Source organism: Homo sapiens, chromosome 7, assembly GCF_000001405.40.
Source record: "Homo sapiens chromosome 7, GRCh38.p14 Primary Assembly".
NCBI classification, from domain to species: domain Eukaryota; kingdom Metazoa; phylum Chordata; class Mammalia; order Primates; family Hominidae; genus Homo; species Homo sapiens.
Window position 1 is genome coordinate 124,820,605 of NC_000007.14, and position 16,922 is coordinate 124,837,526.

General features: G+C 34.3%; 1 protein-coding gene across 5 annotated transcripts in view, besides 1 other annotated feature; it reads right to left on the minus strand.

Moving 5' to 3' along the window:
• The window catches only part of POT1 (protection of telomeres 1), a 107,440-nt gene continuing 92,299 nt past the window's right edge, over positions 1,782 to 16,922 (minus strand). For 3 of the 5 annotated variants that reach the window (NR_003102.2, NM_001042594.2, NM_015450.3), the window contains 5 exons: positions 14,675 to 14,810; positions 8,650 to 8,738; positions 6,610 to 6,701; positions 4,648 to 4,753; positions 1,782 to 3,470 (listed from right to left, as the gene is read on the minus strand). Coding sequence is in view for 2 of the 5 variants with exons in the window: in NM_001042594.2 (NP_001036059.1) it covers positions 3,358 to 3,470; positions 4,648 to 4,753; positions 6,610 to 6,701; positions 8,650 to 8,738; positions 14,675 to 14,810 (536 nt within the window). In the remaining 3 variants the exon portion in view is untranslated. Of the gene's footprint in view, positions 3,471 to 4,647; positions 4,754 to 6,609; positions 6,702 to 8,649; positions 8,739 to 14,674; positions 14,811 to 16,515; positions 16,613 to 16,922 lie in introns of all 5 variants that reach the window. The other 2 variants (NR_003104.2, NR_003103.2) reach the window with 2 other exon arrangements.
• Positions 11,784 to 12,333: an enhancer, noted in NCBI's record as "OCT4-NANOG hESC enhancer chr7:124472442-124472991 (GRCh37/hg19 assembly coordinates)". NCBI's record gives its function as "activates a minimal SCP1, AML or CMV promoter by ChIP-STARR-seq in primed H9 embryonic stem cells {active_cell/tissue: H9 hESC(primed)}" and the evidence as "EXISTENCE:reporter gene assay evidence [ECO:0000049][PMID:30033119]".

The following is a 16,922-nucleotide window of genomic DNA, read 5'->3' on the forward strand; positions in this document are numbered from 1 at the left end:
ACTATCCAGAGATTCCGAGGGGCCAAGAAAGGAAGAGATATTTATATTTCCCCTAAAATAATGTTCTAGAACTTTAGTGTGACTTATCATAGCCTTCACAGAGTCTGCATTTCCTAATGAAAAGCATTACAGAAGGTGTTCTTTTTTCTTACATTAACATTCGTTTCACAATAAATTCTTCAAAGCATGAAATAATAATTTAAAGCAACTATGTCATGGCTGAGTCCTAATCCTGTATTGGAAGTCTGTATAGGTCTCCAAAACTCTTATCACCTAAAAACCTCCAGAGGACATAGTGAAACTAGGTTTCTGGGCTTCCAGATGCATTTAAAGGGGAAATAACACCAGACAAAATACAGACTAAAATAATAAGTAAAACACATTATCATGAATAACTATGTGGTAACAAAGCAGATAACAAGAATACATTTTTGTAAACATATAAAATCCCAAACTGGCACAATAAAAAATAGAATACTTACACAAAAAACCACAACAGAAATAGTAAAATTATCAGAGAATTACACATTGAAAGTTACTTATGCTGAGTAATTATAAGCAATGAGTTTCTCCCTGTATGTATCAACATGAAAAAATACAGTTGTCTATATAAAGTGACAAAAGTTGCACAACTATTTAACATGATGCTAAAATATATATGTGTGTGTATATACATACACACATATGCATGCTCACATGTTCTTAGAAAGAACAATCTGAAAAATTATACACTGTATTGTTAAAAGTGGTTTCTTCCTGGGTACTAATTGGAGCAGGAATCAGTTCAAGTTTATAGACCCTATATTTGTTTCAAATTCTTACTTCTATTAAAAAAAGTCTAGATAAAAACAAAACTTGATGAAATATACGGTCAAATTTAAAACAACATTGAAAATAATCAAAAGAGTTTTTAGCCTTTCCAGATCCCAAGAAAAGCTTCTAGAAAGTATAGAAGAAAATTGTCTGGATTCAGAGTCACACGTAGTGACAAATTCATGCTTTGATATCTAAAACAGGACTGCATAGTCAGCTGGGAAGTAGGCAGGAAAAAGATTTTGGTCCTTTTCTGTTACCTCCAAGTAGCTAAGGCACAGGATCTACACCAATTTGAAATCTGGGCAGCCAGTACCCAAATGGGTGAAGAGACTTTTTTAGGTAGACAGAGGTATAGTCAGCTTCTTCTAGACCATCAACATCAGTCTTTCTATAATTATTTAGAAACAATTTCCAACTTAAAGCATGAGCAGGGGTAAAAAGAAATGAGGAATGATACATTGTATCTTGGCATGTATAGTTCCCTCAAATACAGCAGTATAATTGAAGGTGGCCACAGAAAAAGCCTGTAAGTAGTGTGTTTCTCATTGCTACATCCAGATAAAGAATAATGGACTGTCTCAGATTTTTCTAAGACATACATTCTAAGAACAATACAGGGACAGCATGAGTCAATCCAGTAGTGTCTTAAAAAATGGAAGCTGCAGAAAGTGGAAACTGAGGGTGAGTCTGTACACAAACTTCTTTCTTAAATTTGTGTAATTTAAAATCTGACAGGAAGATTCTATCAGTGTTTACAGAAAGGGGCAGGGATCAAATTGGGGCACAATGAACTACCATTTAGTTGTTGCTCCAGAAATAAAATTCTCCTCTCTGGGTTCCTGATTAGCATAAAGTGCATACATCATCTCTAGAGAAACACTAGATGTTGATGGAATAATTCTTGCTAAAAACTGAAAATTTTTTTAAAAAGACAAGGACAAAACCCCACAATAAACCAAAAGAAATCATGATAAGGTGGATGTTTATTTAAAACAAAAATAAGAAGAGACATGGCCTATCATCATGAAGATTCATAGGAAGAGTTTTCCTTTGTTAACGTGGAGATCTTGCAGGCTCACAGTGTGAACATATGGCACCTTTGGACCTCTACTCTTCTAGATTGAGGGCTTCCTGAAGGCAGAAAAAATGTTTATTTCACCTTTGTATCCTGAGCACATCATCAACACGGAAACACACCTGTTCAACTGTAGGGTTTTAAAATATTTTTCCTGAAAATGTTTTGAACCAAGAGTCTATATTCTTGAAAATAAAATCAGTCTTTCTCATTGTCTCAAACAAGCTGATAAGTCGATGATGGGGGACATTGGTAGTTAGGTAAAGAAGATGTGTTAATGTACTCAGGAACTAGAATTTAGAGTTATTATGAGCAAAGAAAGTCAGTTATCCAATCTTTTTGACAATAAGATGTTAAAAGTATTTTGAAACTATAGAAAAACACACTGACTCCTCTTATAATCTATTTCCAATGTTATTTCAGATGTTTAAGTCAAAGACTCGTTGCAGAAAACTGTTAGCTTCTGTTCCAGAATCCTTGAGTGGTTAACAGTACAGGCTCTGAATAGAGATTATGTGAATTAAGGCACAGACTCTAGCTTTTACAAACTGTGTGAACTTAGTCAAGTCAGCTTATCAATCAAGCCTCAGATTTCTTATCGGAAAAATAGGTTGCTGTGAGGATCAAATACATGTTTAGTGCTTAGCACAGTACCTGGGATGTAGACAGCCCTAAACATCTGCTGCATTGCCACACCTATTTCGATTCTTTGCCTCATATCATTTTTCAGCTCAACTTAGGGCAAATAAATGAAACAGTTGAAATGTGTGCACTTATTTATTCTTCACTAATATTAAACCAGGTAATTTATATCTGTCTTTGGCAAATAACATACACAAATCTATATATATATATATAAATGTTTGTATAAAATTGAATATTCATGATTTTAAATTTGACAAACACTGTCAGGTAAAAATCAAACTATTTTACTAAGTTAACATCTCATTCAATTAGTTGTAAGTTGTAATAGCGGCATATTTTACATGAGACTATTAGAAAAGGATAATATTAAGTCATTAACATTATAAATCTGACCACTTTTATTAGGTTGAGGTGAAATAGAGAAATCTCTACTATCCTGGAGAGAAACAAGCAATAAAACCATGTATTACAAGTTTAAAGAAATGAATTTATCCTAAAATCATCAGTATCAGCACCCCAACAAAGCAACTTTGCCATTTCTACTTAAAGTACACTGTAGCTTGATCAGACACTTATCTCAGCAGTACTTGTTTAAGCAGGTCTCTTTGTACAAAAGCAAAACAGAAAGCAAAACAAAATCCATAGCCATTATTTACCTTGCACCCAGTAAAAGCCAAGAGATTTAAGGTAAGGACATTTTCTAATCCCATACCCATGCTAACATCATCAACATTGCTGATACAAAACTCAGGTCAGGAAAAGAAGCTCAAACAGGGAAGGTGAGTGGCAACATTTTATGTATGCTAAATTGGATGGCAATATTAGATTACATCTTCTGCAACTGTGGTGTCAAAAATCTGATAGCAAATTTGATTATCTGTTCCATTTGTGACATTGTATGACTTGATGAAGCATTCCAACCACGGATATGCATCTACAAAAACAAAAACAAAAAAAGCGATTTAACCATTAAAACAAAATAAATAACTCTGAAATAGGTACCTAAGCTTACCACTGAGCTAGAAAAATTAACATTTATTTTGGCTTGAAAAGTAAGTAAACGTCCCTTCCAAATTTAACATTATTCTCTCTTCAAAATACATACTAGATTCATGTTATTGTTTTGGAGCAATTGTGACTAATTTGAATTTTTTGCCACAAGCAGGTAACAGTGAGTACATCTTGGGTTTCAAAATGGTTGGTATATATTTTAAAAATCTAAAATAGTGGTTACAATGGGTCTACCAGGCCCATGCTTTTGGATATAAAGACTTACTTCTAGAAATCTATCCAAAAGAATCCAAACAGTTAACACAAATTAAAACTGACAACAAATAAAGGTATTCAAGTTAAACTTGGTTAGAGATCAACACAAATTCCTATCATTATGTAACTATTATAAGATGCAAAGATTGACCAGGGAGAGTAAAGCCTGATTAAAAATAGTATATAAAAATTAAACCAGCTGCTAAATCTGCAGCTGGTAAAATTTCCTACGATAAAAAATTGTTAGAAAAATCAAAATTGTCTTAATATGACTTAGATCTGCAAGTTTCAACATAAGTACAAATATAGTCACAGAAGGAAAATTCAGTGGCAGCAGGTATAAGCAGTACAATTTGAAATGAGGAAGATCTGGTTTATTAATCAAATGTTTATGCAGAAAACAAAGCTCACAAAAAATTGGTAAAACAAAAGCTTGTAAAATCTGAAACTAGTTAACAATAAATAAAAAAATTAATCCATGAATTAAATTGGATAATTGGAGTTTGTTACAGAAAATGTTTACTGCCAACAATTCATCACTTTTGGTCTAATTTCAACTAAAATGCTTGTAGCATGACAATGTCAAATGTGCTTGTGATCAAAACTATCTCCCTTTCCTATATTTAAAAATATTTTAAAAATCTTTTGACTGCAGGAATTATGATTCATAACTATTTTATCCCTGCCACTCTCTTCATCAAAGGTTGATCATAGAGTAATCACTCACTACTTAGTAAATCATTTGGAAGCAAAGCTTTCAGACTTCTAAAAGTCCACAGAGTACATATATGTTAGTGCTATCTCAAGTAAAAGAAGTGTGGGATTGTTAAAATATTCTTGCCTACCAATTTTTATTCCTGGAGGACAAAACATATCCATGATCATATCCACACTTTTCTGAAGGTCATCATCCATCAGAACTTCTGATGCTGGAATCTGGAAGAATTTGTCCTTAAAAATGTTTCATGAGAGAAAAAAAAAGGAAATAATATTAATCCTTTTTAATGTTATTATTAACACATATTTCAATATTGTCCAATTAAAAGATAATCTAGACAGTTTCCCTCTATCAAGATTGTAGAATTCATAAACTAGAATGCTGGTCTCAACTCCAAAATCTTATTTACTCTTTAATCTTAAAATAGCTTTGAGATACACGTAATCAAGTAAATTGCTCTGATTTAATAATGATGATGGTAATAATGATTTAAAAACAATGAGGCTGACTATTCTCTTTGTGCATAGAAAAAAAAATCTTGTGCTAAGCTTAAATGAATATAACATACAGTATATGTATTATATAGTTATTTAATTTTTCTCTTCCCTACTATGTTATAAGTTTCAAGAAGGAAGGAATTTTGTTTACTTTGTTCACCGCTGTGTCTCCATCACATAGGATAGTACCTAGTACATAGCAGGTGCTCATTAAATATTTAATGAAAGGTTAAATGAATTGTGTAGGTGGGAGAAAAATTCTCCTCTCAACTATAACTCAGATCTTTTCCAATCCATGTAGTAAACATTTTAACTTTACCCTAAGAGAGGTCTGGGCTTTGACCTTAGCTTGTGGAACGTAATCTCTAAGCCCTTTCTATGTCACACTTGATAGAAGTATTTTTGCCTGGAAGCCCTGGGTCACTATGAATAGTTTAACAATATGATGTAGGGTGGAAAGTTTGGAGCATGTGGTATCAGCTTGATCTCAAGAGGGGCTGAAGACTATGATCAGCCATATGGGCAGTCAACCATACCTACGTGATAGAGTCCCACTAAAATCTTTTAGCAGAGCTTCCCTATCTGGCAATATATTATGTATACTGCTACACACTGTTGCAGGGAAAGTAACAGTCCACAACTCTATGGGGAGAGGACAACTATAAGTTCCATGTCTGGAACTTTCCTGGACTCTGTCCTATACATCTCTTTCATTATCTGATTTTAATGTACATCCTTTAGCTGTAATAATCTGTAACTGTCAGTATAACAGTTTTCAGTGAGTTCTAGGAGTCTTGTGAATTATCAAATCTAAGAGTGGCCTTGAGGACTTCCAATTGCAATTAGTGTCAGAAATGAGGAAGGTTTTGTAGACTGCCTCAAAACTTTATACAATAATATCTATCTTCCCTGTTAAAGTAACTTCATTCCTCTAATATGAAATGTGGAGGTTTAAAAAGTATGATCAAGGCTGGGCACGGTGGCTCACGCCTGTAATCTCAGCACTTTGGGAGGCCAAGGGTGGGTGGATCATGAGGTCAGGAGTTCAAGACCAGCCTGGCCAAGATGGTGAAACCCTGTCTCTACAAAAATACAAAAATTAGCTGGGCGTGGTGGTGCATACCTGCAATCCCAGCTACTTGGGAGGCTGAGGCAGAGAACTGCTTGAACCCGGGAGGCGGAGGTTGCAGTGAGCTGAGATCGTGCCACTGCACTCCAGCCTGGGCAACAGAGCAAGACTCCATCTCAAAAAACAAACAAACAAACAAACAAACAAACAAAAGTACGATAAAATGTTGACTACAAATAATGCTTCCATAGTGTGGCCGTATCTCTGCATTTTGGCCATGGTATAGGGAATGACTCTTTAAATCCCTGTTCCTTAATTTTTCACTATTCAAATGTTAAGATTTAGTGTCAAATAAAAAAAGAGATACATACACAGATGATTCAAGATTTATGTGCTCATATTTTACTTATATTTTTAAGGTGCCTTAAGTCCTTTTAGGAACAAAGCAGGTATGAATAAATGTATTCAATTTTTTAAATATTATTTTTTAATTAAAAATATCTTTATTACCTCTGATACTTACAGAATCCATGAGATAGGCTTCTAGTACTCCTGTTCCATCATCAAGTGTAAAGGTCATAACAAACACATATTGGAGGGGTACAATACCCAGTGCTAGTGAAGGAAAAAAAGATCAAACCATATGAGTCTGCTATTCCTTATTATCAAGGTAAAGTTAAAATTGTTTTATGATAGTATAGACCTGTAAATTTTATTTACTAAAATAACTCAAGATACAAAGAAAAACTTGGCATTATCTCCAGGTAGATAGTGTCAGAATTGAACTGGAGGACACCCAGCTGGCGTCTGCTGAGGGATTGCCTGCTTGGTGTGTGGGTGAAAACCCCTATGCATTTGGTCACATAAGTCTTCTGCGCTGATTGCTGTGGTGGCAGAGCAGAGGACAGTTTGTGTTTTTAACTCCACAGATACTCAACCTATAATTAAGCTCATTTAGCAGATTCATTTTGGAATATTTCACTATACCTACATAGGGAGAATATCTTATGATAAGCAATTTAATCTTTTTGATTAAATATTAACGTATTTAAAATAAGTTGACACCCTCACACCTGTATTCTCAGCACTTTGGGAGGCTGAGGTGGGCAGATCACCTGGGCGGATCTTGAGGAGTTCAAGACCAGCCTGGCCAACATGATGAAACCCTGTCTCTACTAAAAATACCAAAAAAAATAGCTAGGCTTGGTAACATACACCTGTAATTCCAGCTCCTCTGGAGGCTGAGGCATGAGAATTGCTTGAACCTGGGAGGCAGAGGTTGCAGTGAGTCGAGATTGCACCACTGCACTCCAGCCTGGGCGACAGAGTAAGGCTCTGTCTCAAAATAAATAAAAATAAATAAATAAAAAAAACAGTTGATAGCCTCCATAGAAACCACAAAAAGTGATTCATGAAATGTAACTCATTGCATGTTAGTTTTATGAAAGATAAAATTAAAATACAGAATATTCTAAAAAATAGCATGCAGTTAAATACCGTTTTAGCATGCCTCTCTCCTTTCTATTATAAGCTAGGGGAATAATTTATAACTTTAAAAAAGAAAAAAGGGATATCATCTGGTTGAATGGACAAGAATGTCAGAATCTGAGATTTAATAATTTGGTAAGATAAGGAAGAAATAAGAAATTAGACATACTGGGTAAAATGAAAATTCACAGGTTAAGATAAATATCTTCTTGTTTGGAAATGGAAGATACTCAATTTATAGAATGTTTTATTAGCTTTTATCTGTGGAACCCATATTTAAACAGTATAACTAATTAACAGGGAAAGTAAGAATAAATTAGGACATACAGACATGAACTAGGGCATACAACAGACATTAATACAGGGGAACTGAATTTTAGGCTTCAAAAGGTCTCAATAGGTTAAAACTGTGAACTAAAACTAAGAAAGATGAACTTAGCACCTACTCCCAGGAACCATAAAAACAAAGATATTACATTAAGAATAGAACGAAGAGACCAAGTTCAAGAAGTTCATGTGACAGAAAAAAAAATTACATTAAGAATAGAATGAGAAGACCAAGTTCAAGAAGTTCATGTGACAGGACCCTAGGATTTCACTGGACCACAAATAAAACATGAGATGGCTGTATCAAAAAGGAAAGAAAACAAAACCAAGTGTACAAATAAATAGCTATACAATGACATTTCAGGCTAGTAGAAGCTGAGTGTCCAGTTTCAGGTAAATAATAATTTCACTCTATTCTGAATTGGCCAAACAACATCTGCAGCACAATGTCCAGCTCTGAATGCCAAATTCTGAGAAAAGCACTGGTAAAGTGGAATGCTTACTGAGGAGGAAAAACAAAATAGTAAGGCATAGGGGAAAGTATGTGACGGTGCCTGCTTGAAGAAATACAGACTAAAGGAAGGCTTGGCAGATATCTTTAAATTTACAAAGTCTGTTTATCTTACAGAGGAAGGAATAAGTATACAAAGAAGGAACAGGTATACTTTCAGGTATACTGAAATATAAGTAGGTGAAATAACCTTGTAAACAAACAGTTAAAATTGCAGGGCATGGAAATTTAGCTAACCTTCTGCCACAGAAGAAGGAATCCACGATGTTTTATCAACCAGGGAATTTAGATTTTGTATGGATCTCAAACTAGAACACTGTTTACATCTGAAATTTATAAAAGAAAGAACCATAAATATTTAAAAATAATTTAGCTTGTTTGTTATAACTTTTTACTGCTCAAACATGTGTAGTTTTAAAATATAAATTATTAAACAGAAGAATACTGCATCCCCTATATTGTAATGTGCTTGTTTGTTTCACAAGAGAATTATGAAAGAGTAAGCTTATTACATAAGGGCAATAAAAAAGACAGTATAAGATTCAGAATAAACAACTCTAAATTGAGAACAGGGTGCTCGGTTCCAGGTCCAAATCATTAATTAATTTTGCTCTCAATTTCCTTATTTGTTAAAATGAAAAGTTGAAGAAAATGATCATCTCTAAGAATTCTCTGATTCTATGATCTATATCTATATCTATATCTATATCTATATATATATATTTTTTAAGACAAGGTCTCACTCTGTCACCCAGGCACTGTCACCTCTGCCTCCTGGGCTCAAGTGAGCCTCCCACCTCAGCCTTCCAAGTAGCTAGAACCACAGTTGCACACCACCATGCCTGGGTGATTTTTGTAATTTTATAGAGACAGGGTCTTGCCACAATGCCCAGGCTGGTCTCAACTCCTGAGCTCAAGCCATCTGCCTGCCTTGGCCTCCCAAAGTACTGGGATTACAGGTGTGAGCCACCATACCTGGCCTCTGTAAGTAATATCTTAATAAATTCAAAGTGTTAATAAATATGGCCAATAGAGAAAAATTACTAAACAGTCACAACATGCAAGATTCTAGATAATTAATATTTTTAGTAAGCACATATCCAGAGGTTTGTAGTTTATGATGCCTAATTCCATAGTTAACTTTTGAAATGTATATAAATCTAAGACTACACAATACACTAAAGTTGTGCATTGTGTAGTACAGTTATTTTGCTTTACTTGAATACCAACATATTTTAACTATGAGTAATTTATTTTTTATTATGCATCATCATAATGTTTATGAGATGTTGATAAGAAAATATACTTGAAAAGATATACTTGAATAAAAATAAAAGTTCGAAAGGTCCATGCAATTTGTTTTCATTTGCACTTTGAGGAAAACAAGAGGGTAACCACATTACATCTTATACCCTTCTATTTATTAAATATATAGGTGTTTCTTTTCTAATAAAAGATGTCAATTTAACAAAAGAATATTATTGCCTAAGAAAAAGACTACGATATTGATTAGCATTAGACATTATTAAAGTTAGTATAAAAATTAAAAATTAAGGATATTAAGTCAAAATTAAATACAGAACTACTTACTTCCAAAGCAGTGAAAGGGGAAACAGAAAAAATTAGAAACATAAACTAAATATATCAATAACTTAAGAACATATTTAAACTCCACTATTAAAACTAAAATTTAGCCATAAGCTTTTATTTATGAGTGACATACAAATTAGAATGCCAGAAACTTGAAAGCAAAGGGATGAGAGTAACCTATAAAGCAATTACCAAACAAAAATTTTAAAAAAACCTATAAAACACAAGAAACCATAAAGTTAAAAAGGCATGGAATACACTAGAAGTATGGATGAAACTGACAAAGATTAGTATCTCTAACACGGAAAGAAACCTTACAATCAATTACATGTATGTGCGCTCACACATGAACCAACAAAGAAATCAGTAACCACATAGAAAAACAGGCAAAAGATGTGAACATGGAATTCATAGAGTAGGAAACCTATGTAGCTGATAAACACGGGGGCTGCTTAAACACACTAGACATCTAGGAAATACAAATAAAAACATTATGGATACCATCTGATGCTCGCTGGCCTGACAAAATTACAAAATTAATGCCAAGTATCAGACAGAAATAGACTAATACCAAGTGTTGGAGTGAACTTGGTAGAAACTAAAATTTTATACATTACTGATGGGACCATATATTGTTAAAACCATGGGAAGAACAATTTGGTATTTCTTCCCATAAAGCAAAACTTATATACACCTTATAATCCAGTAATTCTAATTTCAGGTAAACACCTTAGGAGTAACTTTCAAACATTTTTGTTAAGGACTCACAGTAAGAAATTCATTTAATATCATATCTTAGTAATACATACATACACATACAATTGAAATGAAAGTTTAGGAAACAACACTGACCCTTACTGTGTAAAATGTTCTCTATTATCCATTCCCTCTCATTCCATTTTTTACTACAACCACATCATATAATTTAAAAAAAAACTGTTTATGACCCACTGAACTCATTTTATGACAAGGGAAATAGACAAGAAAACATATAACGTGACTTCATTATGGTCTGTAAATGAAACAAAAAATAACACATATCCATTAATAGGAAAATAGGCTAATAAATTCTGATATTTCATAACATACTCCAAAGATGTTAAATAATCTAAATCTACATGCGTCAATAGTGGTAAATCTTGAAAATTTTAATGAATCAAAAAAAGCAAGCTGCAAAAGGCTTGGCATAGTACGAAACAGTTTATATAAATTTAAAAAATGAAAAATATGCCATACTGCTTAAGAGTTCACACATATAATGAAGGCATAAAAACATTGATGAGAAGGATTTAATCCAAGTTTGGAAAAGTAGCTACCTCTGAGAAAAAAGAGTTAGAGAAGGGATTGATATGGCATTATACTACTTCTCTGTAACATTTAATTTCTTAAAAATAAAAAAAAAAAAAAAAAAAAAAAGTTTGGAGGCCAAGGTAGGCAGATTGCTTGAACTCCAGAGTTCAAGAACAGCCTGGGCAACATGGCAAAACCCCATCCCTACAAAAATTAGCCAGGTGTGGTGGTGTGCACCTGTAGTCCCAGCTAGTTGGGAGGCTGAGATAGTAGGATTGCTTGAGCCCAGGATGTCAAGGCTACAATGAGCTGAAATCATGCCACTTCAGCCTGGGTATCAGAATGACACTGTCTCCAAAAAAAAAAAAAAAAAAAAAAGTCTGAAATAATGTCAAAACGTTACGATTTGTTAAATCTAAATGGTGGATACGTAATTGTTGTGATGTTACTTTTTTAATTTTTCTATAAGTTAAAATTATTTCATAACCCAAAAATAAAAAGAAGAATCAATTAAAAGATATACTGGCTTTTGATGATGAAACTCAAGTAATAAAAAATGTAAAAATGTCTTAAAATCTGGAGTGTGAACAGCATTTGCCTTAGTTTTGAAGCAACCAGTAAAAAGTCAACAGCCTTGGTTGGGCACAGTGGCTCACACCTGTAATCCCAGCACTTTGGGAGGCCGAGGTGGGCAGATCACCTAAGGTCAGGAGGTCAAAACCAGCCTGGCCAACATGGTGAAACCTCGTTTCTAATAACAATACGAAACAATCAGCCGGGTGTTAGTGGTGCATGCCTGTAGTCCCAGCTACTCGGCGGGGGGGTTGAGACAGGAGAATCGCTTGAACCGGGGAGGCAGAGGTTGCAGTGAGCTGAGATCATGCCACTGCACTCCTATCTGGGCAATAGAGCAAGACTTCATCTCAAAAAAAAAAAAAAAAATGGGGTCCTTAAGGTAATTTTTTTGAGACTTCTAGTAAAAGAAGTAGTAGTATTTCAGAGTTTAAAATGAATATGAATATTTCCTTTCCTGGTTTAGACGCGTCACGGTGCCCAGTACTGGCAAGGCAAAATAGAGAGAAAGGGGAAAGAACAAAAGCAAGTGAGCGAGGATGAGCATGCAAAAAGAGAAAGCTCAGTGACTTATTATACAAGAAAAACTGAATTTTATGAGTTTTAATTTTTTAATTAATTGGCTTAATTAAAAATCATTTTATTTTCAAAAAAGATGGACTCTCAGATCATGAGTCTAATGAGAGGGAGAATTAGACACTGAGTATATCAGTAAAAACAGCTATAACACAGAGATTTAAGTCAGTGGCATACACTTTCGCTTTATGGCTAAAATTTTATGATATGTTGGAAGGACAGAGGGCAATGCCTAACAGTGACTTTACCACACAATTAGGGAGGTATCATGCTTACCGTATAATATTTTTCAACCAGTATATAATTTTTCAATCAGGATTTACACATTATGACAATGACTACTAATTGCTACAAATGTAGAAGTCGGAAAGAAAGAGGAATAGGATGATAAAACATATGTTATAATCCAAGGTTTCTCAAATCAGAATGTGTCCAGGGTGATTGTTTCATCAAGCAGTAGAGGAGATTTTATCCCTACCCCCTCCTTCTAAATGTAGAAATCTGTTTATAGCTCCTAATGAATTCTTTTATATTCCAATTTTCAGTGGCAGCAAATTTGTAATTTAGTGGCTCAGAAATTCTGAAATTGAATCACTTAATTTTTACTAGGTTTGCAGCTCTGAATTTTTCTCTGTAACTGGAATCTAAATCCTCACTGTTAAAGAAAACAAGTGAGTACCAGCCTCTGGCTGAGGAATCAAAAGACAGCAGCCTTATGCCTCACACATTGCGTGTACTCTCACTATATATGCTTATCAAAAGAACAGATATATGCCAGAAAAACCTAGTACATATAAGTTGATACACTGTAAGTTCATGCTGAACATATAGTAACCAATGAAATAAACTAATAAAAATTACTCTTCAACAGTTTTTAATTCCAAAAGTTTTCTCAGTTGAAAACACCACCACACATCTGCAACCATCTGATCTTTGACAAACCTGACAAAAACAAGCAATGGGGAAAGGATTCCCTATTTAATAAATGTTGGGAAAACTGGCTAGCCATATGCAGAAAACTGAAACTGGATCCCCTTACACCTTATACAAAAATCAACTCAAGATGGATTAAAGACTTAAATGTAAGACCTAAAACCATAAAAATCCTAGAAGGAAACCTGGGCAATACCATTCAGGACATAGGCATGGGCAAAGACTTCATGTCTAAAACACCAAAAGCAAAGGCAATAAAAGCCAAAATTGACAAATGGGACCTAATTAAACTAAAGAGCTTCTGCACGGCAAAAGAAACTATCATCAGAGTAAACAGGCAACCTACAGAATGGGAGGAAATTTTTGCAATCCATCTGACAAAGGGCTAATATCTAGACTCTACAAAGAACTTAAATTTAAAAGAAAAAAACAACCCCATCAAAAAGTGGGTGAAGGATATGAACAGACAGTTCTTAAAAGGAGACATTTACACAGCCAACAAACATATGAAAGAAAGCTCAATGTCACTGATCATTAGAGAAATGCAAATCAAAACCACAATGAGATACCATCTCACGCCACTTAGAATGGCGATCATTAAAAAGTCAGGAAACAACAGATGCTTGAGACAATGTGGAGAAACAGGAATGCTTTTACACTGTTGGTGGGAGTGTAAATTAGTTCAATCTTTGTGGAACACGGTATGGCAACTCCTCAAGGATCTAGAACTAGAAATACCATTTGATCCAGCAATCCCATTACTGGGTATATACCCAAAGGATTATAAATCATTCTGCTATAAAGACACATGCACATGTACGTTTATTGCAGCACTATTCACAATAGCAAAGACCTGGAACTATACCAAATGTCCATCAGTGATAGACTGGATTAAGAAAATGTGGCACATACGCACCATGGAATACTATGCAGCCAAAAAAAGGATGAGTTCATGTCCTTGCCAGGCATATGGATAAAGCCGGAAACCATCATTCTCAGCAAACTAACACCAGAACAGAAAACCAAACACTGCATGTTCTCACTCATAAGTGGGAGTTGAACAATGAGAACACATGGAGACAGGGAGGGGAACATCACACACCAGGGCCTGTCAGGGGGTGGGAGGCTAGGGGAAGGACAGCATTAGGAGAAATGCCTAATGCAGGTGACGGGTTGATGGGTGCAGCAAACCACAATAGCACGTGTATACCTACGTAACAAACCTCCATGTTCAGCACATGACCCCAGAACTTAAAAGTATAATAAACAAAACAAAACAAAACAAAACAAAACAAAATACCCATAGTGATGTATTGTTCCTTGTATAAGAAATGGTGCTGAAAGGTCCAAAAGTTCCAGGTCTTCGTGGCCAGATCTCACAGGAATTACACTATTAAACTTGTTCGAGAGTTTGCAAATTTCACTGAGTGTACCTCCTGTTAAGAGAATAAATAAATCCTTCAAGTAGTGCAAATAAAATGTAGACAAGTACAGTCCTATTAAATAACGTGTGAGGTATAATAAAAGACTAAAGGAATTGACAGAAAAAGACAATGAATGTATGTAAAAAATATTAATTTGTAAATGTACAATCCTATACATTGATTAAAAAAATCAATGCACAAAAATGCTGAGACTTTGGTAAAATATAAAGCTTGTGAAATTTTAACCAACTTCTTAAATTTAAACAAATTGCTCTTTATTTCAGGAACACTTTGGTTCAAATAACCAAAAGAGGGAATATAAATTAAAAGCTAAGTTATGATCAGATTCTCACTAATTTGCTATATACTAATTAATATCTGGGCAAATTTAGAGTTTAAATCTCAATTTTCAGGTCAATATTTCATTTAAATATAGATATGAGTAGTTCATGTAATATGAATTCACATATAAAATTTGTTCATTTTTCCTGGGAAAATTATCACAGTTAATTCTATGACAGAGTAAGCATTCAAATGACCAGGCTGGCTGAGAAGTATTGTCCAATGGCATCCATTATTAGAAGGCAGTGTCCTTTTTACTTAGCTAATAATGCTTCCTCTCTCCAGGCAAAATGAAAAGGATTTAAAAAATACCTCTGTGTATTTCCTAAAATTTGGGTAGAATTTGTAATGTCAACATTCAATTATAAAGGAGAAGCACTTCTGGTATAGCAGAGTGAGGACATCCAAAGACACACTTGACTATAACAGCAGTAAGAATATTGGCAAAAACTGTAAAACCTTTTTTAGAATTCTGGAAATTACCAGAGGCCTTCAACAATCCAAGGAGTGTTTGCTCCAGAAAAAGGGCTGAATTTTGGCAAGAACGGTGAGCTCTGTGGCATTTTAACTTGCCCTGTTCCCATCCTCCTTCCCCCAAGCTCTTTGTTACTGGAAGCCAGAGTTCTGCTATATCATATTGCAGCTAGATAGAAACTCTCATTATGCATGCTTAAAAACTCAAAACAATATTCCCTAAGCATGCTACTTAAAAGTTTCACAGCCCAAAAGTTAGTCTATCTTTTGGAGACTGATACCTAGCCCTGCTGAAGAGACTCCTGCCTACTGTTCAAAACTGCAATAGGTGACCATTCACTAACTCTTTTCTCTATGAGTTCCTCCCCAAAAACACTATTTCAAAGAATCTGGTGAGAGCTCATCTAGTCATTCACACTGGCCAGTCACACGAGTTTGGCTCTGGCACATAAGCTGGACAACCTTGGTCAAGTTACTTAAACTCTGGTATAACAGTTTCCCCATTTGCAAAACTGAGAATAATGTTACTCTGTAAGATCATTATAAAGATTAAATGAGTTAATATTTGTAAAGCACTTAGAGCCATGAGTGACTATTACTATCAATATTTTAGTGATTTCCTCTTAATGTAAAGTCCATGAAAGGAAGAACTTTGTTGTGTTTGCTACATTGCCACTAATGCCTAAATCAGTGTCTGGCACATAGTAGGCATTCAATAAACATGTGCTAAACAAATGAATAAGAACAAAGAAAGACATTTACATGTATATATGTGCATACTACATTTCTCAAGGTTTGTATCTGGAGACATCCTAACTGAGAGCAATTTATTTGCAATCAGTAGAAATATTTAACATGGACTATGGAGACAGAAAGGCCTAAGTTTGAATTTTTTTCTGACATTTATTAAGTCTTTAACCTTGAGTACTTCACCATTTTCTCTTGGTCTCAGTTTCCTCTTCTGTTTACAAAGGGGATATATCCAGCTTACAGAAGAACTGTTATGAGAGTTAAAGATAAAATACTAAACTAGTACAGTGCCTGACACATAGTCTATTCAGTAAATTATAGGTATTAATAATAAATATTATGATAAAATGATTCAGTGACATTAGAGTTCCATACAAATTGGATTCAATTCAATTGGAAACAATACAAAATGTTTCAGAGGAAGTTAAATGTTATGCAGTTTAAAATATAGTGTTAATAATAAATAAATATTATAAACAATTCGAACCCACAAGTTTGACACCTTAGATAAAATGGTTCCATTTCTTGAAAGGCATAATCTATCAAAACTCACACAAG